Consider the following 25511-nt stretch of genomic DNA (forward strand, 5'->3'; position numbering starts at 1 on the left):
TGTCACTATCATTGAGCACTTCCTTACTTTCTGGTATAGAAAGATGTTTCAGATTTATATTGTGTTGTTTCTTTCCAGTTCTGGAATCAGCCATTTCTTTAAGGAACTGTAATTTCTTTTGAAATAAAGATCTGGGCATTAGAGATGCTTATTGCTAATATGATAGTAATTATCCCAGGCCATCTCAGCAGATAAAGCACTTTGCTTTTTTCTTTTAACATAGTATTTCTGGAAGTCGCTAGATCAACATTTCTAGAAATGATATTCTTTTAAACAGTTTCATTGCACTTCATTTTGGAAACAAGTCAGAATTTATTCAAACATTCTCCTATGTAAGAGTGTTTAGATTGTTTCCAGTATTTTGCGATTATAAACTATTCTGCAATGAATATTATATATATATGTATATATATATATATATATATATATATATATATATATATAGTTGGAGGTGTATCTTCAGGGCAAATTCTTAGATAGTGGATTGCTAGGTAAAAATTAATGACTATGTATTTTTGTTAGACAATGCCCAGTTCCCCTCTGAAAGTGTTGTACCAAATTTGTATTCCCAAAACAGTATATAATAGAAGAGTGCCTGTTTACCCAGAACCTCAACATCAGAATGCATTGTTACTTTTTAATTTTAACCATCTGATAGTATCTCAGTGTAGTTTTAATTTGTATTTCTATCTAAAAGTTAAGGCTGAACATCTTTTCATATGTTTAAGGGCCTTTTAAAAATTTTTTCTTTTAGAGACAGGTCACCCTATGTGGCCTAAGCTAGTCTCTAACTCCTGGCCTCAAGCAATCCTTCTGCCTTGGCATCCCCAAGTACTGGGATTACAGGTGTGGGCCACTGTGCCTGGCCTAGGGTCATTATGAAACTATCTTTTGTTATGAATTTTCTGTTTATACCTTTTTTTTTTTTTTTTTTTTGATGGAATCTCGCTCTGTTGCCCAGGCTGGAGTGCAGTGGTACAATCTTGGCTCACTGTAACCTCCACCTCCGGGGTTCAAGCAATTCTCCTGCTTCAGCCTCCCAAGTAGCTGGGACTGCAGGCATGTGCCACCACTCCTGGCTAATTTTTGTATTTTTAGTAGAGACAGGGTTTCACCATGTTAGCCAGGCTGGTCTCGAACTCCTGACCTCAGGCAGTCCACTCGCCTTGGCCTCCCAAAGTGCTGGGATTACAGGCGTGAGCCACCATGCCCGACCTGTTTATACCTTTTACACATTTTTCTATCAAGGCTTTGGTCTTTTTCACATGGTTTTTAAGAGGCTTTTTTTTTTTAATGTAAGGGATATTATCTCTTTATCTACAATATATGTTATTTTCTGTGCGTTGTTTTTTAAATTTTGTAGTGTTTTTGCCATAAATGTTTTAAAACATTTTTATATAGTCAACTCTATCAAATTAAAAAAATTTGCCTCTATTTTGAGTCATATTAGAAAACCTTTCCCTTAAGCCTGCATTATATTGAAATTCACTTGTGTTTTCTTCTAGTTTTCTGTAGTTTCTTTTTTACATTTAGACTCCTGATCCATTTGGAGATTATTATTGTGTATGGTGTAAGATATGGATCTAATTTTACCTTTTCCCAGAAGTCTAACCAATTGTACTAGCATTCTGTTTTTTTATTTTTTTATTTTTATTTTTTTTTTTGAGATGGAGTCTCATTCTGTTGCCCAGGCTGGAGTGCAGTGGTGCAATCTCAGCTCACGGCAACCTGTGCCTTCTGGGTTCAAGTGACTCTTCTGGCTTAGCCTCCCAAGTAGCTGGGATTACAGGCACGTGCCAACACGCCCGGCTAATTTTTTGTATTTTTAGTAGAGACGGGGTTTCACTGTGTTAGCCAGATGGTCTCGATCTCTTGACCTCGTGATCCGCCCACGTCAGCCTCCAAATGTGCTGGGATTACAGGTGTGATGTACTAGCATTCTTTATTAAAAATTTACCTTTGTGGGCTGGGTGCAGAGGCTCATGCCTGTAATCCCAGCACTTTGGGAGGCCGAGTGGGGGAGATCACGTGGTCAGGAGTTCGAGACCAGCCTGGCCAATATGGTGAAACCCCATCTCTACTAAAAATACAAAAATTATCCAGGCGTGGTGGCATGCACCTGTAGTCGCAGCTACTCGGGAGGCCGAGGCAGAAGAATTGCTTGAACCAGGGAGGCGGAGGTTGGAGTGAGTCGAGATCCGCCACTGCACTCCAGCCTAGGCAACAGAGCGAGACTACGTCTCAAAAAAAAAAAATTTACCTTTGTGTCATGATTTGAGATGCCACCATCATCATATATTAAATTTCTATTTGAATCTGTTTCTGGACATGATATTATTCCACTGAAGTCTGCTAGTCTATTTATGCACTGATATCTCACTGTTTTCATTACGGAGGCCATATAGTATGTTTTAATGTTTGGTAAGGTTACTCCTCTCTCAAAACAGGGTTTTTTTGTTTTTGTTTTTTCTTTTTTTAGTGTTTTGCCCACTATTGTTACATATTTGTTTTTCTTTTCTTTTTTTTTTTTTGAGATGGAGTTTCACTGTTATTGCCTGGGCTGGAGTGCAATGGTGCAATCTTGGCTCACCGCAACCTCTGCTTCCCAAGTTTAAGTGATTCTCCTGCCTCAGCCTCCCGAGTAGCTAGGATTACAAGCACGTGCCACCATGCCCAGCTAATTTTGTATTTATACTAGATACAGGGTTTCTCCATGTCGGTCAGGCTGGTCTTGAACTTCCTCCCTCAGGTGATCCGCCTGCCTTGGCTTCCCAAAATGCTTGGATTACAGGCATAAGCCACCGTGCCTGGCTACATATTTGTTTTTCGTAAGGTCTTTTTAGCTAACTTGTCTATCTCCATAAGAAAAGCTTATTGGTATTTTTTGGGAGATTTAGTTGAATTTGTAAATTAACTTTGGGAGAACTACATCTTTATGATGTTGTATCATCTTATCCAAAACAGGGATATCTTTTCATTTCTTATTTTTTTATTTTATTTGAGATGGAGTCTCGCTCTGTCACCTGTGCTGGAGGCTAGAGTGCAAGTGGCACGATCTTGGCTCACTGCAACCTCCGCCTCCTGGGTTGAAGTGATTCTCCTGCCTCCGCCTCCGGAGTAGCTGGGATTACAGGTGCGTGCCACCATGCTGGGCTAATTTTTTGTATTTTTAGTAGAGATGGTGTTTCACTATGTTGGCAAGGCTGGTCTGGAACTCCTGACCTCATGATCCACCCGCCTCGGCCTCCCAAAGTGCTGGGATTACAGGCATGAGCCACAGTGCCCAGCCCGTTTCTTTAAGTCTATTTGTCTTTCAAGAATGTTTAAAAACTTTTCTTAAATAGATTTTGCACGTTTATTAAGTTTGTTTGTAAGCATTTAGTGTTTTTTGGTGCTAACATTAATTATATTTTCTTTACCATTCTAGTCTCTAATTGGTTTTTGTTTTCGCATATGAAGTCTACTGATTTCTGTATATTAATCTTACATCCTGTTACCTTAGTGAATTCTTTTATTATTCAAGTTGGTTTTATCATTACTTCTCTGTGGTTTTCCAGAAATTTATTACTGACATTATAAGGCTTTCTGGGGGAGCATGGCAGGTTGCCTAAGCTGGTCCAAAACTGGTTTGAAAGAGCAGGGAAAGGAGACTGACTTGGGGTTTTTATGATGGTTAGAGGGTAGAGCCAGGGAGAGGATTTCTACATGTGGTTTGGCTGGTGGCAAAAGAGAGGGGCTTTTTTTTTTTATCCCTTTGCTTAATGTTAGGTAGAAAGGGGAAAGAGGGAGAGTTAAGGTCTAAAAGCTGGCAGTAGTCAAACATCAAAAATGGAATCAGACTATTATAGTTTCTGATATATTTGGATAGAGGTCTGCAAAGTCATTTCTTATTTAAAAAAAAGTCTTCTGTTTAGTAGTATTTTCCCTTTGTTATTTTTTTATTTTGTACATTTGTGCTTTATCCCCCATATTATTAATTCATTAGCTAATGGCTTATTTTGTTAACTTTTTTCCTAAAACCGCAGGCTTTGAATTTTTAGGTCTGCTGTTTTTCTACTCCCCATATCATTACTTTCTGTTCTTATCTTTTTTGTGTCATTCTTTTTGTTTATTTTCTAGCTTATGGAGCTGAGAATTTAGTTTCCTATTATCATTTTTCATTTTTACTGCTAAAGTGTTTAGAGCTATGGAGTTTTCTGACTGCTTTAAATGTATCCCATATATTTTTTATGAGTAGAGCTTTTAATGTTATCATTATTTTTAGATTCTATCTTTCACTTCATTTCCCCTTTCACCCAAGAGTTGTTTAAAAGACACTTAAGAAATTTGCAGGTAGGAAGACCTTTTTGTTATTTTTCTTGTTAATAATTTCTAGTTCTATTGCATTGAGTGTTGTTTGTATTATTTCTACTTTATGGAATTTACTAATGTTTCATTGTAACCAAATATATGATCAGTATTTGTGAATGTTCCATGTACTCTTGAGAAGTTTTATTGCCTATTATCAGGGTAAAATGTTTGATATATGTATACATCCATAAAATTTACTTTATCAAGTTTATTGAGTCTTTTCTCTGTGTTTTTGGACTCATTGATCTACTAAGGTGTCTTATAATCTCTTATTATTAATGTATTTCTACCTTTATTTCCTTACATTGCCTTATAGTTTTGCCTTATACAAGTAATTACTGTTTCATTTGGGATATTTCTTAACTGCCATGTCTTCATTTTGATTTGTGGCTCTCAGCATTAAGAAATATCCTTCTGGTAGGCTGAGGCAGGAGGATCACTTGAAGCCAGAAGTTTGAGACCAGCCTGGGCAACATAGTGAGACTATGCCTCTACAAAAAATTAAAAAATATTTTAGCTAGGCATGGCAGCATGCCTCTGTAGTTCTGCTGAGGCTGAGACCACAGGATTGCCTGAGCCCAGGAGTTCTAGGCTGCAGCGAGCCGTGATCATGCCACTGCCCATTGAACTTTAGCCTGGGCAACAGAGCGAGTCCCTGTCTCTCACTCTCTAAAGAAAGGTATCCTTCTATGCACATTTAATGTGTAAGCTTAAATTCTACAATTTTGATCAGGATTACTACTTGTTTTCTTATTGTTTTCATTTGCCTATAATACCTTTGCCCATTTCTTGATATTTAGTCTTTCGGAATCACCTTGTTTTAGTTATGTGTCTAGTATTCAGCATAATACATTCAGTCCTATTTTAGGAGCAAAATTGCACATCTTTATGTTTTAATAGTTGAGGCTCATTCACATTTATTAATGTGACTAATATGTTTGATTTCAGTTCTGTCATATTATTTTATACAGGTTGAGTATCCCTTATCCAAAATGTTTGAGACTAGAAGTTTTTCAGATTTCAGATTTATTGGATTTTGGAATATTTAAAGATACATAATGAGATATCTTGGGGATAGCACCCAAATCTAAACATGAAATTTATTTGTTTCATATACGCTTTATTCACATAGCATGAAGGTAGTTTTATACAATATTTTAAATAATTTTATTTATGAAAGTTTGTGTTAAATACTTAAATGTGGAATTTTCCACTTATAACGTCATGTCTGTGCTTAAAAAGCTTCAAATTTTGGAATGATTTGGATTTTGAAATTTTGAATTAGGAATGCTCAACCTGTAATTATATACTATGGTACATTTTATGTTTTTCTTTATCTACCAGATATTTTTCTTTTCTCCTTTAGTTTTGAAATTTCTGTGGTATTTAAGAAGATTTATATTTTTGTTTTATTGGTTACCTTTGTACTTATATTTTAAAACACCCTTAGAAAATAGGGGAATATTTTCTTATTTAACTTCTACTATCTGCTTTGTCAGTTTTTTTTTCCCAGTGGTGGCTGTTGAAAAGCACTAATATTTTATGTCATTCTATCTCAAATCCAGACAAATAACCTCAGTTGTTTCAACAAACTTCTCTATAAAATAGAAGAAGCTGGGCAGAGAGCAGCAAGATTTATCAACAGCATCATTAAAATTACCCAGTGCACTAACATTACTAACTATCCTGACACAAGCTAAACACTTAATTACCTACCATCTCTCATTGCTTGTGATGTATTCTTTTTTGTTGTTGTTGTTGAGATGGAGTTTTGCTCTTGTTGCCCAGGCTGGAGTGCAATGGCGCGGCCTCTGCTCACTGCAACCTCCACCTGGGCCTGTAATCCCAGCTTGTGATGTATTCTTATTCACCTGCACAGACTGGAAATGATATTGAACCCAGGAACTAAGATACAATCATAACTACCATTTATTAAACACATACTTCATGCCAGTGCTGGGCTGGACACTGTTCCAAATGACCTTATTAATCTTCCCAACAAATCTATGGGATACATGTTTCTATCCTATTTAAAGGAGAATGAGATTAATGAATTTCATCATGTGTAGAGAACAGTTTTAAGCCCAGGTCTACCTGACTGCACAGGCCCTGTTCTTTGTTTTTGTTTGTTTGTTTAATAATATCCTTGTATATGCCTGTACTATAACTTAAAAAAAATCATTGCTTTGTCAGTTTTTTTGGTATCTTTTAACTTTTACCTCTTGCCTATTTAGTAATCAATGAGCTTATTCTACTTTCCTCTTTTTCTTTCCTACACTTCACCTTTTTTTAATAGGTGGACTTTTTCTTTCTAGTAGTAGTTTTAGATTAATCTTAGTTTTGGTGGCTCCCTTCTTTTCTCTTTATTTTACTCAATTTTCCCTTCCTCCCCCTCTTCCCCTCCCCTCTCCCTCCCTCCCTCCCTCCCTCCCTTCCTTCCTTCCTCTTTCATTCTTTCCTTTTTTTCCAAAGACAAGGTCTCATGTTGCCCAGGCTAGAGTGCAGTGGCTACTCGCAGGCAGGATCTTGCCGTTGATCAGTGCGGCAGTTTTGACCTGCTCCATTTCCCTCCTAGGTTGGTTTACTTCTCCTTAGGCAACGTGATAATCCCTTGGCCCCCACAGGTCACCTTATTGAAGCCCAACTTAGTGCAGACACCTGGACAGCGTAGCGCACCACAGCCCAGAACTTCTAGGCTCAAGCGATCCTTCTGCCTTAGCCTCCAGAGTAGCTGGAACTACAGGCACACCCAGGGCGTCCGGCTTTTTTGCTTAATTTTTGTTTCACTATGTTTTGTAGTTCACTAATGTTTTGTAGTTCACTATGGTCTTCTTTTCTCCCTTCTTCTTTTTTCCCCCTATTATAGATAACTTAAAGTTTGGCATTTCGTCTTCTAGTTATACTGAAGACAAAGTTTTTGTATACTTTTATTTGTTCTTGTTTTGTTTTTTGAGGATGTATAGAGAAAGATTTAGGCAGCCGCATCTACCAGGTAGTCCAGTAGATGTATTTTGAGTGATATGCTAGCGATATCAGTTATTGTCTCCCTGCTGCAATCTTTTGTTCTCATCCACAGCCTCTGCTGAAGGAGTAAACACAAGTGACCATATTTGTAACTAAAACAAGTGACCTTATTTTTACTAAATGACCTCACCCTTTGGCCACAGATGAATTTATCTTTCCTGTATGGATACAGGACCTAAACTCTGCCAAGCTGATTATATCTTTTGAGAATTTGAACGAAAGGACACAGAAACGTAATCAGTTAGTATAGGATGCTGGAGCTGTTAAGTCTTGTAGAGTCAAGGCCACAGTGTCATGAAAACTGAAGGTATGGAGGAGCAGAAACTAAGAGGTTCACAGAAGTAGGTGGAATGCAGAGTACTCAGCAGAGAGAAGTTTATAATGGTGTCTTTGGAGCAACAAGAGAATGAGGCAGGAAGAGAGCCAAAGAAACTGGTATAAACAGTTTCTGATGACTATTCAATTCCCAAGAGACGAGCTTGAATAACTTCCAACAATATTCAACATATTTTTCTATTATTTTATTACATTTTCTTGAGGTTTTTTGGGTGTGGGTCTCTGTTTCTTAATTAATTAATTTCCTGAATATATTAGGCTTTAATAAATGTTTATCATCCTGGTGTTATTACCCAGATACAATATGATGTGGGACTACAAATAATGAGGGCTATTCACAGAATTGACTTGAGATAATTTGAGAGTATCAAGTTATTAAATATATTACAAGAATTTTGGATCTGGAAGGGACCTATGAGGAATATCTAGTTCAAATTCTCAAATTTTAGGGAAGAGAGGCCAAGAGAAAATGATTTGCCGAACTTTGACATTGAATTAGAGGTCTCATTAGAATTAGAACTGTGGTTTCCTGATACCCAGTCTAGTTTTCATTTGACTACATGTTCTGAGTTAGACAGTATAACCCCCCAAATTCATATCTACTTGAAACTGCAGAATATGACCTTATTTGGACTAGCATCTTTGCAAATGTAATGAATTAAGATGAGGTCGTACTCAATTAGAGTGGATGGACTTTAATCCAATATGACTGGTGTCCTTACAAGAAGGAAAAACAGACAGAATGCCATGTGATGACACGGCAGAGATTAGAGTAATAAAGCTGTAAGCCAAAGAACACCAAGGATTGACGGCTGCTACCAGAAGGTAGAAAGAGGCAGGGAAGAAATGATTCTCCTCTACAGCTTTCAGAGGTACTACTGACCTCTGGTTTTAGACTTCTGGCTGCAGAATTGTGATTATAAATCTCTGTTGTGTTAAGCCATCCAGTTTATAGTTCTTCGTTATGACAGCCTTAGGAAACCAAATATACTACCGCATGGTACACTTTTAATGTAAAGAGATTCTTCCCTGAATGTCACCAAAAAAGTATACAGAAACTACATTCTTCAAAAGGGAAGAAAATAGCTTTTTCTGTTGGGTATATCAATCTTAACTTTTAAATTCTTCAGTGTGCTTAGCTATACTTTTGTGCCATTTAGAGATTACAGTATTGTTCATCTTGGGATTTTCAAGGAAGTATGTCACTAGGAAATTTTGCTTTTATTCTTTTAAGGAATAATTAATGGTGGCAGGCATATGGAGTGTGTGTGTGTGTGTGTGTGTGTGTGTGTGTGTATGTATGTGTGTGTATGTTATGTTACGGATTTTCTGTTATATGATATTCTGAAATATTGTACTTTTATTTTCAGGTTACTGAAGCTAAAGGAGATGTTTAACTCCAAGTTTGGATCTATTCCCAAGTTTTATGTTCGAGCACCAGGAAGAGTCAACATAATAGGTATTTCAAAAGTTCCTTCTCTTAATTTTTTTCTTCATCCTTTGATAAGATCTAAATTTTTAAAAATATATTTCTTTCTTAATTTTTCCCAAAATAGAATATTTCACATGTATCTACTAATAGTAAGATGTGCCTTTGCATAAGGAACACACTTTACTTTTATCTTTCCCAATCCATGTTATTAGTATTGTTCATTTGTTTTTTAAATGTATTAATTTGTTGAAACCAAGTTGTTAATATTGTTTTCATAAAAAATGAAAATATTTTTCTAGGCCACAGGTTAAAATTTTAGACTGTGGTAAGTAGTTTTGATGGTTTTATATTTACTCACTGGGTTAGAGGAGCACAGGGAAACCTTAAAATTCCTTGCTACTAAAAGTGTGGTCCAGAATTTGCAGCCCTTCTAGATGAATTTATCTTTCCTTTTGTTTATCCTGTGAAGTACTTTGAATTTTACTACCTTTTAGTGGTAAATAACACAACCTTTCAACATTTTGTTTACTATCATTTTATCAATGTCCCTATATATAATAATTGACATAGTTGTACTTAGACTACATACCATTTGTATCTTTTTTTCATTTAATATATCATAAATATTTCCATGTATCTATTTCCATTTTCTGCTGGTATAACAGAATTCCACAGATGGGGTAATTTATCAACAATAGAAGTTTATTTGGCTTGTGATTCTGGAGGCAGAGAAGTTCAATATCATGGTACTCACATCTGGTGATGGCCTTCTTATTGTGTTATTCTCTTTTTTTTCTGAGATGGAGTTTTGCTCTTATTGCCCAGGCTGGTGTGCAATGGTGCAGTCTCGGCTCACTGCAACCTCTGCCTCCCGGGTTCAAGTGATTCTCCTGCCTCAGCCTCCCGAGTAGCTGGGATTACAGGCATGTGCCACCATGCCTGGCTAATTTTTTGTATTTTTAGTAGAGACAGGGTTTCTCCATGTTGGTCAGGCTGGTCTCGAACTCCCAATCTCAGGTGATCCACCTGCCTTGGCCTCCCAAAGTGCTGAGATTACAGGCGTGAGCCTCCACACCTGGCCTCTTGTGTCTGTTAACTGACCTCTCCCTACCTGCCCTTCCTGCCCTCACTACATGTTATCCTTCCCAGCCTCTAGTAACCATTAATTTATCCTCTATTTTTATGAGATCAACTCTTTTAGCCTCCATATATGAGTGAGAACATGAGGTATGTATCTTTCTGTGCCTGACTTATTTCACTTAACATAATGTCCTCTAAGCTCATCCATGTTGCTGTGAATAACAGGATTTCACTCTTTTAGGTGGCTGAATAGTATTCCATTGCACACATACACCACATTTTAAAAATCCATTCATCTGTGAATGGACATTTATGTTGATTCTGTATCTTGACTATTGTGAATAGTTTTGCAATAAACAAGAGAGCCACATATCTCTTTGACATACTGATGTCCTTTTCTTTGGATATATACCTAGTAATGGGATTGCTGGATCATATGGTGGTTCTATTTTTAGTTTTTTGAGGAGCCTTCATACTGTTTTCCATATGGCTATACTAATTTACTTTCCCACCAACAGTGTAGAAGAATTCTTATTTCTCTGCATTCTCTCTAACACTTATTATTTTTTGTCTTTTTGATAATAGTCATCCTAACTGAAGTGAGATAATATCTCCTGGTGGTTTTGATTTGCATTTTCCTGATTATTAGTGATGTTGAGCATTTGTCTATGATTGTAAGTCATTTGTATGTCTTCTTTTTAGAAATGTCTATTTAGATCATTTGCCAATTTTTATTTTATTTTATTTTATTAATTTATTTATTTTGAGACAGAGTCTCTCTCTGTTGCCCAGGCTGGAGTGCAGTGGCACGATCTGGGCTCACTGCAACCTCCACCTCCTGGGTTCGAGCAATTCTCCTGCCTCGGCCTCCCGAGTAGCTGGGACTACAGGCACGTGCCACCATGCCCAGGTAATTTTTGTATTGTTAGTAGAGATGGGGTTTCACCATGTTGGCCAGGATGGTCTTGAACTCCTGACCTCAGATGATCTGCCCACCTTGGCCTCCCAAAGTGCTGGGATTACAGGTGTGAGCCACCACACCGAGACCATTTGCCAATTTTTTAATTGGAATATTTGTTTTACTACTGTTGAGTTAAGTTTTTTATATATTCTGGAGATTAATTCCTTGTTCGGTGAATAGTTTACAAATATTTTATCCCTTTCAACAGGTTGTCTCTTCACTCTATTGGAAGGTTTCCTTTGCTGTGCAGAAGCTTTTTAGTTTGATATAATTTCATTTGTCTATTTTTGTTTCTTTGCCTGTGCTTTTATAGTCTTATTCATAAAATCTTTGCCTAGACCAATGTCTTGAAGTGTTTCCTTTATGTTTTCTTCTAGTAGTTTCATAGTTTCAGTTCTGATGTTTAAGTCTTTAATCCATTTTAAATTCATTTTTATAAATGGTGAGATATTGGGGCCTATTTTTATTCTTTTGCATATGGATATCTAGTTTTTCCATCACCATTTATTAAACAGATTGTCCTTTTCCCTATGAATGAAAGTAACTTTGTTGAAAATCATTTGGCCTTGGCCAGGCATGGTGGCTCACACTTGCAATCCCAGCACTTTAGGAAGCCGAGGAGGGTGGATCACTTGAGGTCAGGAGTTTGAAAGCAGCCTGGCCAACATCATGAAACCTCGTCTCTGCTAAAAATACAAAAATTAGCTGGGTGTGGTGGCACACACCTGTAATCCCAGCTACGCAGGGGGCTGAGGCACGAGAATCTCTTGAATCTGGGAGGCGGAGGCTGCAGTGAGCCGAGATCAAACCACTACTGCACTCCAGCAGGATTCTGTCTCAAAAAAAAAAAAAAAAAGAAAATCAGTTGGCTGTAAATACATGGATTTAGCTCTGGGTTCTCTATTCTGTTCTATTGGTCTGTATGTCTGTTTTTACGCCAAAACCATAGTATTACTGTAGCTTTGTAGTATATTTGAAGTCAGATAGTGTGATGCCTCCAGCTTTTCTTTTCTTCTTCTTCTTCTTCTTTTATTTTTTTTTTTGGCTCAGGATTGCTTTGGTTTTTTGGGGTCTTTTGTGATTCCATACAAATTTTAGAATTAATTTCTGTGAAGAATGTCATTGGTATCATACGAGGAATTGCATTGAATCTGTAGTAGTATGGTCATTTTAACAATATTAATTCTTCCAGTCCAAGAATGTGGGATGTCTTCCCACTTTTTTGTATCCTCTTCAATTTCTTTCATCAGTGTTTTATTGTTTTCATTGTACAGGTCTTTTATCACCTTGGTTAAATTTATTCCTAGATATTCATTTTTTTTAGCTATTTCAAATGGGATTGCTTGCTTGATTTCTTTTTCAGGTAGTCTGTTATTGGTGTATAGAAACACTAGTGATTTTAAAAATTTTTTCAAAGTACTTTTATTTATTATTTTAAAATCTTATTTTTCCATAAGTTATTGGGGTACAGGTGGTATTTGGTTACATGAATACATTTTTTAGTGGTGATTTGTGAGATTTTGGTGTACCCATCACCCAAGCAGCATACACTGCACTGTATTTGTAGTCTTCTATCCCGCGCTCCCCTCCCACTCTTCCTCACAAGTCCCCGATGTCCATTACCTAATTCTTATGCTTTTGCATCCTCATAGCTTAGCCCCCACATATCAGTGAGAACATACAATGTTTGGTTTTCCATTTCTGAGTTATTTAACTTAGAATAATAGTCTCCAGTCTCATCCAGGTCACTGCAAATACTGTTAATTCATTCCTTTTTATGGCTGCATAGTATTCCATTGTATATATACCACAGTTTCTTTATCTACTTGTTGATTGATGGGCATTTGGGTTGGTTCCGCGATTGGGTTGGTTCCATAATACCAATGACATATAGTGGCAATTGTGAATTGTGCCACTATAAACATGCGCGTGCACATATCTTTTTCAAATAATGACTTCTTTTCCTCTGAGTAGATACCCATTAGTGGGATTGCTGGATCAAATGGTAGTTCTACTTTTAGTTCTTTAAGGAATCTCCACACTGTTTTCCATAGCAGCTGTACTACTTTACATTCCCAACAGCAGTGTAGAAGTGTTCCCTGTTCACCACATCCACACCAACATCTACTCTTTTTTGATTTTTAGATTATGGCCATTCTTGCAGGAGTGAGGTGGTATCACATTGTGGTTTTGATTTGCATTTCCCTGATCATTAGTGATGTTGAGCATTTTTCCATATGTTTGTTGGCCATTTCTATATCTTCCTTTGAGAATTGTCTATTCGTGTCCTTAGCCCACTCTTTGAATGGGATGGTTTGTTTTTTTCTTACTGATTTGTTTGAGTTCATTGTAGATTCTGGACATTAGTCCTTTGTCAGATGTATAGACTGTGAAGATTTTCTCCAACTCTGTAGGTTGTCTTTTTACTCTGCTGACTGTTCCTTTTGCCATGCAAAAGCTCTTTAGTTTAATTAGGTCCCAGCTGTTTATCTTTGCTTTTATTGCATTTGCTTTTGGGTTCTTGGTCATGAAATCCTTGCCTAAGCCAATGTCTAGAAGGGTTTATCCAATGTTATCTGCTAGAATTTTTTTAGTTTCATATCTTAGGTTTAAGTCCTTAATCCATTTTGAGTTGATTTTTGTGTAAGGTGAGAGATGGGGATCCAGTTTCATTCTCCCACATGTGGCTAGCCAGTTATCCCCGCACAATTTGTTGAAAAGGGTGTCCTTTCCCTACTTTTTGATTTTGTTTGCTTTGTTGAAGATCAGTTGGCTATAAGTATTTGGGTTTATTTGTGCGTTCTCTATTTTGTTCCATTGGTCTACGTGCCTATTTTTATACTAGTACCACGCTGTTTTGGTTGACTATGGCCTAATGGTATAGTTTGAAATCAGGTAGTGTGGTGCCTCCAGATTTGTTTCTTTTTGCTTAGTCTTGTTTTTGCTATGCAGGCTCTTTTTTGGTTCCATATGAATTTTTATTTATTTATTTATTATTATTATACTTTTTTTAGGGTACATGTGCACAATGTGCAGGTTAGTTACATATGTATGGTTCCATATGAATTTTATAATTGTTTTTTCTAAGTCTGTGAAGAATGATGGTGGTATTTTGATGGGGACTGCATTGAATTTGTAGATTGCTTTTGGCAGTATGGTCATTTTCACAATATTGATTCTACCCATCCATGAGCATGGGATGTGTTTCCATTTGTTTGTGTTGTCTATGATTTCTTTCAGCAGTGTTTCGTAGTTTTCCTTGTAGAGGTCTTTTGACTCCTTTGTTAGGTATATTCCTGAGTATTTTATTTTATTTTTTATTTATTTATTTTTTGCAGCTATTGTAAAAGGGGTTGAGTTCTTCATTTGATTCTCTGGTCGCTGTTGGTATATAGAAGAGCTATATTTGTGTACATTAATCTTGTATCTGGAAACTTTGCTGAATTCTTTTATCAGTTCCAGGAGCTTTCTGAAGGAGTCCATAGGGTTTTCAAGGTAAACGATCGTATCATCAGCAAACAGTGACAATTTGAGTTCCTCTTTACCAATTTGAATGCCCTATATTTCTTTCTCTTGTCTGATTGCTCTGGCTAGGACCTCCAGTACCATGTTGAAAAGGAGTGGTGAGAGTGGGCATCTTAGTCTTGTCCCAGTTCTCAGAGGGAATGCTTTCAACTTTACCTCATTCAATATTATGTTGGCTGTGGGTCTGTCATAGATGGCTTTTATTACATTGAGGTATGTCCCTTTTATGTCAATTTTGCTGAGAGTCTTAATCATAAAGCTTGCTGGATTTTGTCGAATGCTTTTTCTGCATCTATTGAGATGATCATGTGATTTTTGTTTTCTATTCTGTTTATGTGGTGTATCACATTTATAGACTTGCCTATGTTAAACCATCCCTGCATCCCTGGTGTGAAACCCACTTGATCATGGTAGATTAACTTTTTGATATATTGTTGGATTTGGTTAGCTGGGATTTTGTTAAGGATTTTAGCATCTATGTTCATCAAGGATATTGAACTGTAGTTTTCTTTCTTGGTTATGTCCTTTCCTGGTTTTGATATTAGGGTGATGCTGGCTTCATAAAATGAATTCGTAAAATGAATTCGGAAAGGTTCCTTCTTTCTCTATCTTGTGGAATACTGTGAAAAGGATTGGTTTCAATTCTTCTTTGAATGTCTGATAGAGTTCTGCTGTGAATCTGTCTGGTCCTGTACTTTTTTTTTGTTGGTAATTTTTAAATTACCATTTAAATCTCACTGCTTGTGATTGGTCTGTTCAGGGTATCTAATTCTTCCTGATTTAAGCTAGGAGGGTTGTATTTTTCCAGGAATTTATCCATCTATTCTAGGTTTTCTAGTTTACTCATGTAAAGGTGTTCATAGTCGCCTTGAATGATCTTTTGTATTTCAGTGGTATCAATTGTAATATCTCCTCTTTTGTTTCTTAGTGAGGTTATTTGGATTTTCTCTCTTCTTTTCTTGGGTTAATCTTGCTAATGGTCTATCAATTTTCTTTTCTTTTTTTGAGACGGAGTCTCGCTTTTGTCACCCAGGCTGGAGTGCAGTGGTGTGATCTCAGCTCACTGCAATGTCCACCACCCAGGTTCAAGCTTCTCCTGCCTCAGCCTGAGTAGCTAGGATTACAGGCACCCACCACCATGCCCAGCTAATTTTTGTACTTTTAGTAGAGACGAGATTTCACCATGTTGGTCAGGCTGGTCTTGAACTCCTGACCTCAGGTGGTCCACCCGCCTCAGCCTCCCAAAGTGCTGGGATTACAGGCGTGAGTCACTGCGCCGGCCCAATTTTATCTTTTCAAAGACCCATCTTTTTGTTTCATTTACCTTTTGTATTTTGTTTGTTTGTTTGTTTCAATTTCACTTAGTTCTGCTCTGATATTGGTTATTTCCTTTCTTCTGCTGTGTTTGGGTTTAGTTTGTTCTTGTTTCTTTAGTTTGTTGAGGTGTGACCTTAGATTGTCTGTTTGTGCTCTTTCAGACTTTTTGATGTAGGTGTTTAGGGCTATGAACTTTCCTCTTAGCACTGCCTTAGCTGTATCCCAGAGGTTTTGATAGGTTGTGTCATTATTGTCATTCAGTTCAAAGAAGTTTTTAATTTCCATCTGGATCTCATTTTTGACTCAATGCTCATTTAGGAGCAGGTTATTTAATTTCCATGTATTTGCATGGTTTTGAAGGTTCCTTTTATAGTTGATTTCCAGTTTTATTTCATTGTAGTTTGAGAGAGTGCTTGATATAATTTCAATTTTCTTAAATTTATTAAGGCTTGTTTTGTGGCCCATCACGTGGTCTATCTTGGAGAAAGTTCCATGCCCTGTTGAAAAGGATGTGTTTTCTGTGGTTGTTGGATGAAATGCTCTGTATATATGTGTTAAGTCCATTTGTTCCAAGGTATAGGTTCAATCCATTGTTTCTTTGTTGACTTTCTGTCTTGATGACCTGTCTAGTGCTGTCAGTGGAGTATTGAAGTCCCCCACTATTATTGTGTTGCTGTCTATCTCATTTCTTAGGTCTATTAGTAATTGTTTTATAAATTTGGGAGCTCTAGTGTTAGGTGCATATATCTTTAGGATTGTGATATTTTCCTGTTGGACAAAGCCTTTTTACCATTGTATAATATCCCTCTTTGTCTCTTTTAACTGCTCTTGCTTTGAAATTTGTTTTGTCTAATATAAGAATGGCTACCTCTGCTCGCTTTGGTGTCCATTTGCATGAAATGCCTTTTTCTACCCCTTTACTTTAAGTTTATGTGAGTCCTTATGTATTAGGTGAGTCTCCTGAAGGCAGCAGATAGTTGGTTGGTTAGTCCTTATCCTTTTTGCGGTTCTCTATCTTTTAAGTGGAGCATTTGGGCCATTTACATTGAATGAAACACTAGCTATTTTTAATACTGATTTTGTATCTTGCGACTTTACTGAATTTATCAGCTCTAAAAGCTTTTTATGGTTTTTAGGTTTTTCTACGTATAAGATCATGTTGTGTACAAGTAGAGACCATCTGACTTCCTCCTTTCCAATTTGGATGCCCTTTACATTTTTCTCTTGCCTGATTGCTCTGGCTCAGACTTCCAGTACTATTTTGAATAAGAGTGGTGAAATTGGGTATGCTTGTCTTGTTCTAGTGCTTAGACAAAAAGCTTTCCATTTTTCCTCATTTGGTATGACATTAGCTATGGGTTTGTCATATATGGCCTTTATTGTGTATTGAGACATGTTCCTTCTGTACCTAGTATGTTAAGAGTTTTTATCATGAAAGAATGTTGAATTTTATCAAATGCTTTTTCTGAATTGATTGTAAAGATTATATGGGTTTTGTCCTTCATTCTGTTGATGTGATATATCGTATTTTTGGATTTGTGTATGTTGAACCCCTTCCTTGCATTTCTAGGATTAATCCCACTTGATCATGGTATATAATCTTTTTATGGGCTCTTGGGTTCATTTTGCCAACATTTTATTGAGGATTTTTGATTATATGTTCAACTGAGATATTGTCCTGTAGTTTTCTTTTTCTGTTGTGTCCTTGTTCAGTTTTGGTATCAGAATAATGCTGGCCTCATAGAATAGTTTCAAAGAATTCCCCGCCTTTCAATTTTTTTGCAAGTCTGAAAAGAATTGGTGTTAGTTCTTCTTTAAAGGTTTGGTAGAATTCATGGGTGAAGCCCTCTGGTCCTGAGCATTTCTTCGTTGGGAGACTTTTTACTGTTGCTTCAATCTTGTTACTTGTTATTGGTGCGTTCAGGTTTTCTATTTCTACCTGGTTCAATCTTCTTAGGTTTTATGTGTCCAGGAACTTATGCATGTCCTTTAGGTTTTGCAATTTGTTGGCATAATAGTTGTTCACAATAGGCTTTAATGATCCTTTGTATTTTGTGGTGTCACTTGTAATGTCTCCTTTTCTGTTTTTTTTAATTTTATTTATTTGTGTGTTCTCTTTTTCTCAGTCTAGCTAAAGATTTGCTATTATGTTTACCTTTTCATTTCATTAATTTTTGTCTCAAATTTACTTCTGCTCTGATCTTTATTATTTCTTTCCTTCTACTAATTTTGGATTTGGATTGTTTTTGCTAGAGATGTACCATTAGGTTGTTTATATGCAAAATTTCTACCTTTTTTTTTAGTGGCTGATTTATTTTATTTTATTTTATTTTATTATTATTATTTTTTTGAGATGGAGTTCTGCTCTTGTTGCCCAAGCTGGAGTGCAATGGTGCGATCTCAGCTCACTGCAATGTCTGCCTCCCAGATTCAAGTGATTTTCCTGCCTTAGCCTCCCAAGTAGCTGGGATTACAGGCACCCACCACCATGCTTGGCTAATTTTTTGTATTTTTAGTAGAGACAGGGTTTCACCACGAAGGCCAGGCTGGTCGCGAACTCCTGACCTCAGGTGATCCACCCGCCTCGGCCTCCCAGAGTGTTAGGATTACAGGCGTGAGTCGCCGTGCCTGGTCTATTTTATTTTATTTTTAACTTTCGAGATGTAGTCTCGCCCTGTTGCCCAGGCTGGAGTGTAGTGGCACGATCTTGGCTCACTGCAACCTGCACTTCCTGGACTCAAGTGATTCTTGTGCTTCAGCGTCCTGAGTAGCTGGGATTACAGGCATGTGCCACCATGCCTGGCTAATTTTTGTATTTTTACTAGAGACGGGGTTTCCCAATGTTGGCTGTCACACACACACACACTCACACACACACACACACACACACACACACACACGGCCTTTTCATTTCTACCACATGGCTGGGCTTCAATTTTTCAAACTTGTTCACTCTGCTTCCCTTTTAAATATAAATTCCAGTTTCAGGTCATTTCTTTGCTTATGCATAAGAGCATAGGTTGTTAGAAGCAGCCAGACTACATCTTGAATGCTTTGCTGCTTAGAAATTTTTTTCACCAGATATCATCACTCTCAAGTTCAAAGTTCCACAGGTCCCCAGAGCAGGGGCACAATGCCTCCAGACTCTTTGCTAAAGCATAACAAAAGTGACCTTTACTCTAGTTCTCAAAAAGTTTTGTATTTTCATCTGAGACCTCTTTAGCTGGGACTTCATTGTTCATATTATTATCAGCATTTTGGACACAACCATTCAACAAGTTTCTTGGAAGTTCCAAACTTTCCCTCATCGTCCTATCTTTTTTCTGAGCCCTCCAAACTGTTCCAACCTCTGCCACTTACCTAGTTCCAAAGGTGCTTTCACATTTTCAGGTATCTTTATAGCAATGCCCCACTTCTGATACCAATTTTCTGTATTAATCTGCTCTTGCACTGCTATAAAGAAGTATCTGAGACTGGATAATTTATTTAAAAAAAGAGGTTTAATTGGCTCACAATTTTGCAGGCTGTACAGGAAGCATGGCTGGGAAAGCCTCAGGAAACTTACAAGCATGGTGGAAGACAAAGGGGAAGGAGGCACGCCGTACATGGCTAGAGCAGGAGGACGAGAGGGAGGGGAAGTGCTATACTCTTTTAAATGATCAGATCTCATGAGAACTCTATCATGAGAACCACACTCAGGAGATTGTGTTAAGCCATTAGAAACCACCTCCATGATTCAATCAACACCCACCAGGCTTCACTTCCAGCATTAGGTATTACATTTCACCATGAGATTTGGGTGGGGACACAGATCCAAGCCATATCATATGGGTCTAGGCATTGATCCCTTTCTTCTTGGTTTTCTAATTTGTTGGTATATAGTTGCTCATAATAGTCTCTAATGATGCCTTGACTCTCTGCTATCAGTTATAATATCTTTAAAAAAAATTATCTGACTTTATTTATTTGAATCTTCTTTATTTTTTACTTTTTCTTTTTTGTTTGAAATGGAGTCTCGCTCTGTTGCCCAGGCTGGAGTGCAGTGGCGCTATCTCAACTCACTGCAACCTCCACCTCTCAGATTCAAGTGATTGTCCTGCCTCAGCCTCCCGAGTAGCTGGGATTACAGGTGTCCACGACCATGCCTGGATAATTTTTGTATTTTTAGTAGAGATGGGGTTTCACCCTGTTGGCCAGGCTGGTCTTGAACGCCTGGCCTTGTGATCTGCCCACCTTGGCCTCCCCTCCCAAAGTGCTGGGATTACAGGTGTGAGCCAGTGCACCTGGCCTCTTTTTTACTTAGTGTGGCTAAAGGTTTTTTGATTTAGTTTATGTTTGCAAAACACCAACTTTTAATTTCATTGATTTTTTTTTGTAGTTTTAAATTTCAATTTTACTTATTTTTGCTCTGATCCGAATTCTTTTCCTCTACTAATTCTGCATTTCATTTGCTTTTGCCTTTCTCATTTGTTAAGATTCATCTTTAGGTTGCTTATTTGACATATTTCTACCTTTTTGATGTAGGTGTTTATTGTTTTAAATGTGCTTTTTTGTACTGCTCTTTCTGTATCATGGAGATTTTGATCTGTTGTCTTTTCACTCCCAATTGTTTCATGAAATTTAAAAATTTCTTAATTTTTTCATTGGCCCACTGGTCATTCAGGAGCATATTTTTTACTTTCCAAGTGTTTGCTTAGTTTCCAAAGTTTTTCTTCATGTTTATTTCTAATTTTATTTCATTATGATCAGAGAAGTTACTTGATATTATTTTAACTTTTTTGAACTTTTTGAGACTTGTTTTGTGGTCTAACTTAAGATCTATCCTGGAGAATATTCTGGGCACTGATGAGAAGAATGTGTATTCTGGGGCTGTTGGATGGAATGTTTTTATAAATATCCATTTGTTCTATAGTGCAGATTAAGTCTGATGTTTCTTTGTTGATTTTCTCCCTGGATAAATACCCTAGGGCTGAAAGTGAGGTTTTGAAATCCCCAGCTATTATTCTATAGGCATCTATCCTTCTTTTTAGTTTTAATAATATTTGTTTTACATATCTGAGTGCTCCAGCATTGGGTGCACATATATTTACAATTGTTATATCCTGTTGCTGAACTGACTCCTTTGACATTATATAATGACCTTCGTCTCTTTTTATAGTTTTTATCTTGAATCCTGTTTATTTATGCATAACTACTCTTGCTCTCGTTTGGTTTTCATTTGTATGGAGTATCTTTTTCTTTTTTAAAAAATTTTACTTTAAGTTCTGGGATATAAATGCAGAATGTGTAGGTTTGATACCTAGGTATACGTGTGCCATGGTGGTTTGCTGCACCTGTCAACCCATTGTCTAGGTTTTAAGCCCCGCATGCATTAGCTATTTGTCCTAATGCTCTTCCTCCCCTTCCCCTCCACCCCACAATTGGCCCTGGTGTGTGTTCCGGAATATCTTTTTCTATTTTATTTTATTTTTTTTGGTCTGCATGTCTTTATTGATGAGGTTAGCTTATTGTTTTTGTTTTTATAATCCATTCATCCACTTTGTCTTTTATTGGGAATTTAGTCCATTTATATTCGATGTTATAGTTATAAGGTACAGACTTACTACTGCCATTTTGTTATTTATTTTCTGGTTGTTTTGTTGGTCCTCTCTTCCTTCCTTCTTGTCTTCCTTTGTGTAAAAGTGACTTTTTCTGACAATGTTTTAATTTATTATTTAAAACTTTTTTTGGGCTGGGCATGGTGCCTCACGCCTGTAATCCCAGCACGTTGGCAGGTGGAGGCGGGTGGATCATGGGGTCAGGAGATCGAGACCATCATGGCTAACACGGTGAAACCCCATCTCTACTAAAAAATAAAAAAAGATTTAGCTGGGCATGGTGGCGGGTGCCTGTAGTCCCAGCTACTCAGGAGGCTGAGGCAGGAGAATGGCATGAACCCGGGAGGTGGAGCGTGCAGTGAGCTGAGATCATGCCACTGCACTCCAGCCTGGGCGACCGAGCAAGAGTCTGTCTCAAAAACAAACAAACAAAAAAACCCAACTTTTTTTGTATCTGTTACAGGTTTTTGTTTTGTGGTTACTGTGAGGCTTGCAAATAACATAACCAATTATTTTAAGCAGATGACAGCTTAACTCTGATTACAATGAAAATAAAAAAGAAATCAGCAAAAAGAAAACAAAAAAACCCCCCAAAACTTTACCTTAACCCCATTTCTTCACTTTGTCACTTTTTTTTTTTTTTTTTGAGATGGAGTCTCACTCTGTCACCCAGGCTGGATACAGTGGCGTGATCTCGGCTCACTTCAACCTCTGCCTCCCGGGTTCAAGCGATTCTCCTGCCTCAGCCTCCCAAGTAGCTGGGACTACAGGCACCTGCCACCACACCCGGCTATTTTTTTTTTTTTTTTTGTATTTTTAGTAGAGATGGGGTTTCACCATGTTAGCCAGGATAGTCTTGATCTCCTGACCTCGTGATCTTCCTGCCTTGTCCTCCCAAAGTGCTAGGATTACAGGCTTGAGCCACCATGCCCGGCTGCTTTGTCACTTTTGATTGTCTCTGTTTATATCTTTTTATGCTCAGAAAGCTGTTTCAGTTACTATTTTTGATAGGTTTGTCTTTTAATCTTCCTACTAAGATATGAGTGTTTTAACACTATAGTTACAGTGTTAGAGTATTCTGTATTCATTCATCTGTTCATTTACCACTACCAGTGAGTTCTGTACCACCATGTGATATATATTTTTTTACATTAATGTGCTTTTCTTTCAGATTGAATAACTCTCTTTAACATTTTTTGCAAGACAGGTCTGGTGTTGTTGAAACCCCTCAGCTGTGTTTGTCTGGGAAAGTATTTCTCTTTCATGTTTGAAGGATAATTTTACTGGAAATAATATTCTAGTTCAAAAGTTGTTTTTCTTCAACACTTTGAATATGTCATCCCCCTCTCTCTTGGCCTCTAAGTTTCCTGCGGAGTTGTCTCCTACTAGACATATTGGAGCCCCTTTATATGTTCTTTGCTTCTTTTCTTTTTCTGCTTTTAGGATACTTTCTTTATCCTTGACCTTTGAGAGTTTGATTAATATATTAACTGAGTTAGTCTTATTTGGGTTGAATCCTTTTGGTGTTGTGTGATCTTCTTATACCTTAATATTTATATCTTTTCTTAGGTTTGGAAAGTTTTCTATCAGTATTTCACTGAATAAACTTTCTACCCTGATCTCTCTATCTCTACATCCTCTTTAAAGCCAATAACTCTTAGATTTGCCCCTTTTAGGCTATTTTCTAGATCTTGTAGAGAGGCTTCATTCTTTTAAAATTATTTCTCTTTTCTCTCCTCTGACTGTGTATTTTTATATAGCCTGTCTTCAGGTTCACTATTTATTTTTCTTGATCGATTCTGCTGTTGAGAGACTCTGAGACATTTTTGAGTTTGCCAGTTGAATTTTTCAGCTGCAGAATTTCTGTTTGAAATTTCAAAAACTATTTTAATCTCTTTGTTAAATTTCTCTGGTAGAATAATGAATTTCTTCCCTGTGTTATCTTTAAGTTTGTTGAGCTTCCTCAAGACAGTTCTTTTGAATTCTCTGTCTGAAAGGACATACATCTCCATCTTTCTGGGATTGGTCACTGGTGTCTTCTGTAGTTCATTTAATGAGGTCATGTTTTCCTGGATACTCTTGATGCTTGTGGACATTCATCACTTATGGGCATTGACAAATTAGATATTTATTTGTCTGTGTAGTCTGGGCTTGTTTGTACCCTTCATTCTTGAGAAGGCTTTTCATGTATTCAAATGGGATTGAGTGTGTTGTGCTCTAAGCCTGTGGTCCGTATGGGCATATCGGCACAAGGAGGTGCTCTAAGCCCAGGAATGCTGCAATTCTTCCTGACATCTAGAGGCACTGCCTTGACGAGTTTGGGTAAGGTAAAGGAGAATTCCCTGGGTTGTCAGGCAAAGTCCTCTTGATATCTTCCCTTTACTCCTCCCAGTCAGAAGTAGTCTGTCTCCATACTGGGCTGCCTAGAGCACTTCCATGGCTTCCACAGCTGGCACTGTGCTAGGTCACACCTGAAGCCTGTATAATACTGGATCTTGCCTGGTTACTGCTGATGTTTATTCAAGGCCCAAGGGATCTTTAGTGAGCAGGTGAATCCTGCCAAGACTGGGTTCTTCTCTTCAGGGCAGTGGATTCCCTCTGAATGAGAGTGGGTCCAGGAACTAAGTCCTGGAATTGACAGCTTCAGGAATCTCCTTGGTGCTTTACTTCGACTGAGCTGGTACCCAAATTGCAAGACAGTCTTCTGTACTCTTCCCACTTCTTTCCTTAAGCTAAAGGAATCTCTCCCCAAACTGCACTTCCTGGAGTTGGGTGCAGTGCGATCAGGCACTCCCCTGGCTGCCACAGCTGGTGTCACACTTGGTCACACATCACAAGTCTACTGCCTCCAAGGCCGGTGCAGTACCAGGGCTTGCCCGAGGACTGCAGTACTTGTGGCCTGACAGCCACTTAAGCTTATTCTGGGCACTAGGCCAGTTTAGTTAGCCAGAGGTGAGGTTGGTTGGGACTCAGGTTCCTCCTGCTGAGATTGAGAATTCTGTCTTGCCCAGGGCTGATCTAAATGCCCCCTCCTTGGGTGCTAGCAGAGTTCTGCTGTTTTGTGTTTTTCTGTAACATGGCTGCACTAAGTTCCAGTGCAAAGACCCACACTCACTTCACCCTCCCTCCCCCAAACACAGTTTCTCTGTCCATGCTGGAAGGGATCCTGTAGGCAATGCAAGACTGTCTTTCCTGTCCTCTTCAATTCCTCTATCCCTGATGTTATGTTAAAACCAGGTACTGTGATTTTCAGGTACTCACCTGAATTTTCTGGGTTCTTATGAAGGTGTTTATTGCATAGATAGTTGCTCAATTTGGTGTAAGATCATGGAAGGGTTCTATTTGGCCATCTTGCTCTGCTTCCCTTTATTTTTATTTACTGTTAAAACCTGGCTCATGGTCAGTTTTTTCCTGTATGTAAACTTTCTTGAGGTGCTTTTGTTTTATATATTAGCAATGATTAAAAAAGCTTTCTCTTTTTTCTAGGAGAGCATATAGATTATTGTGGATATTCTGTTCTTCCTATGGCTGTAGAACAAGATGTGCTAATAGCTGTAGAACCTGTGAAAACGTACGCTCTCCAACTGGCCAATACAAATCCCTTGTATCCGTGAGTATTTAAAATTGTTAGTGTGTGTGTATGTATGGTTCTGTTTGTACCCAAATGAACTCTTTAGGAGACATCAAATTTGTAACAGGTCATTTAACTTATTGATATTTTGTGTCTGACATTAAAAAAATTCTAAGGCCATTATTTATTGTTCATTTTGTTCATTTGTCAATTCATTTAAGGAATATTTATCAAAGACTTATCATGTGCTAGACATAGTCTTAGATACCAGGTGATACAAAGATAAATAACTCTGTCCTTGTCCGATAGGTACTTATC

General features: G+C 37.6%; 1 protein-coding gene and 1 pseudogene across 17 annotated transcripts in view, besides 1 other annotated feature; one reads left to right on the plus strand and one right to left on the minus strand.

The window, feature by feature from the left end:
- The window catches only part of GALK2 (galactokinase 2), a 211967-nt gene that overhangs the window by 36308 nt on the left and 150148 nt on the right, over window positions 1-25511 (plus strand). For 14 of the 17 annotated variants that reach the window (NR_147895.2, NM_001001556.3, NM_001352048.2 and 11 more), the window contains exons 2-3: window positions 9081-9169; window positions 25109-25232. Coding sequence is in view for 13 of the 17 variants with exons in the window: in NM_001001556.3 (NP_001001556.1) it covers window positions 9081-9169; window positions 25109-25232 (213 nt within the window). In the remaining 4 variants the exon portion in view is untranslated. Of the gene's footprint in view, window positions 1-3003; window positions 3134-9080; window positions 9170-25108; window positions 25233-25511 lie in introns of those variants that run through there. The other 3 variants (NM_001289030.2, XM_047432348.1, XM_047432351.1) reach the window with 2 other exon arrangements.
- On the minus strand, window positions 6819-7113 carry RN7SL307P (RNA, 7SL, cytoplasmic 307, pseudogene; annotated as a pseudogene).
- Window positions 19618-19818: a silencer, noted in NCBI's record as "peak2332 fragment used in MPRA reporter construct". NCBI's record gives its function as "represses an SCP1 promoter by STARR-seq MPRAs in K562 erythroleukemia cells {active_cell/tissue: K562}" and the evidence as "EXISTENCE:reporter gene assay evidence [ECO:0000049][PMID:32103011]".

The sequence above is a fragment of the Homo sapiens genome, chromosome 15 (assembly GCF_000001405.40).
Source record: "Homo sapiens chromosome 15, GRCh38.p14 Primary Assembly".
Classification (NCBI taxonomy): Eukaryota; Metazoa; Chordata; class Mammalia; order Primates; family Hominidae; genus Homo; species Homo sapiens.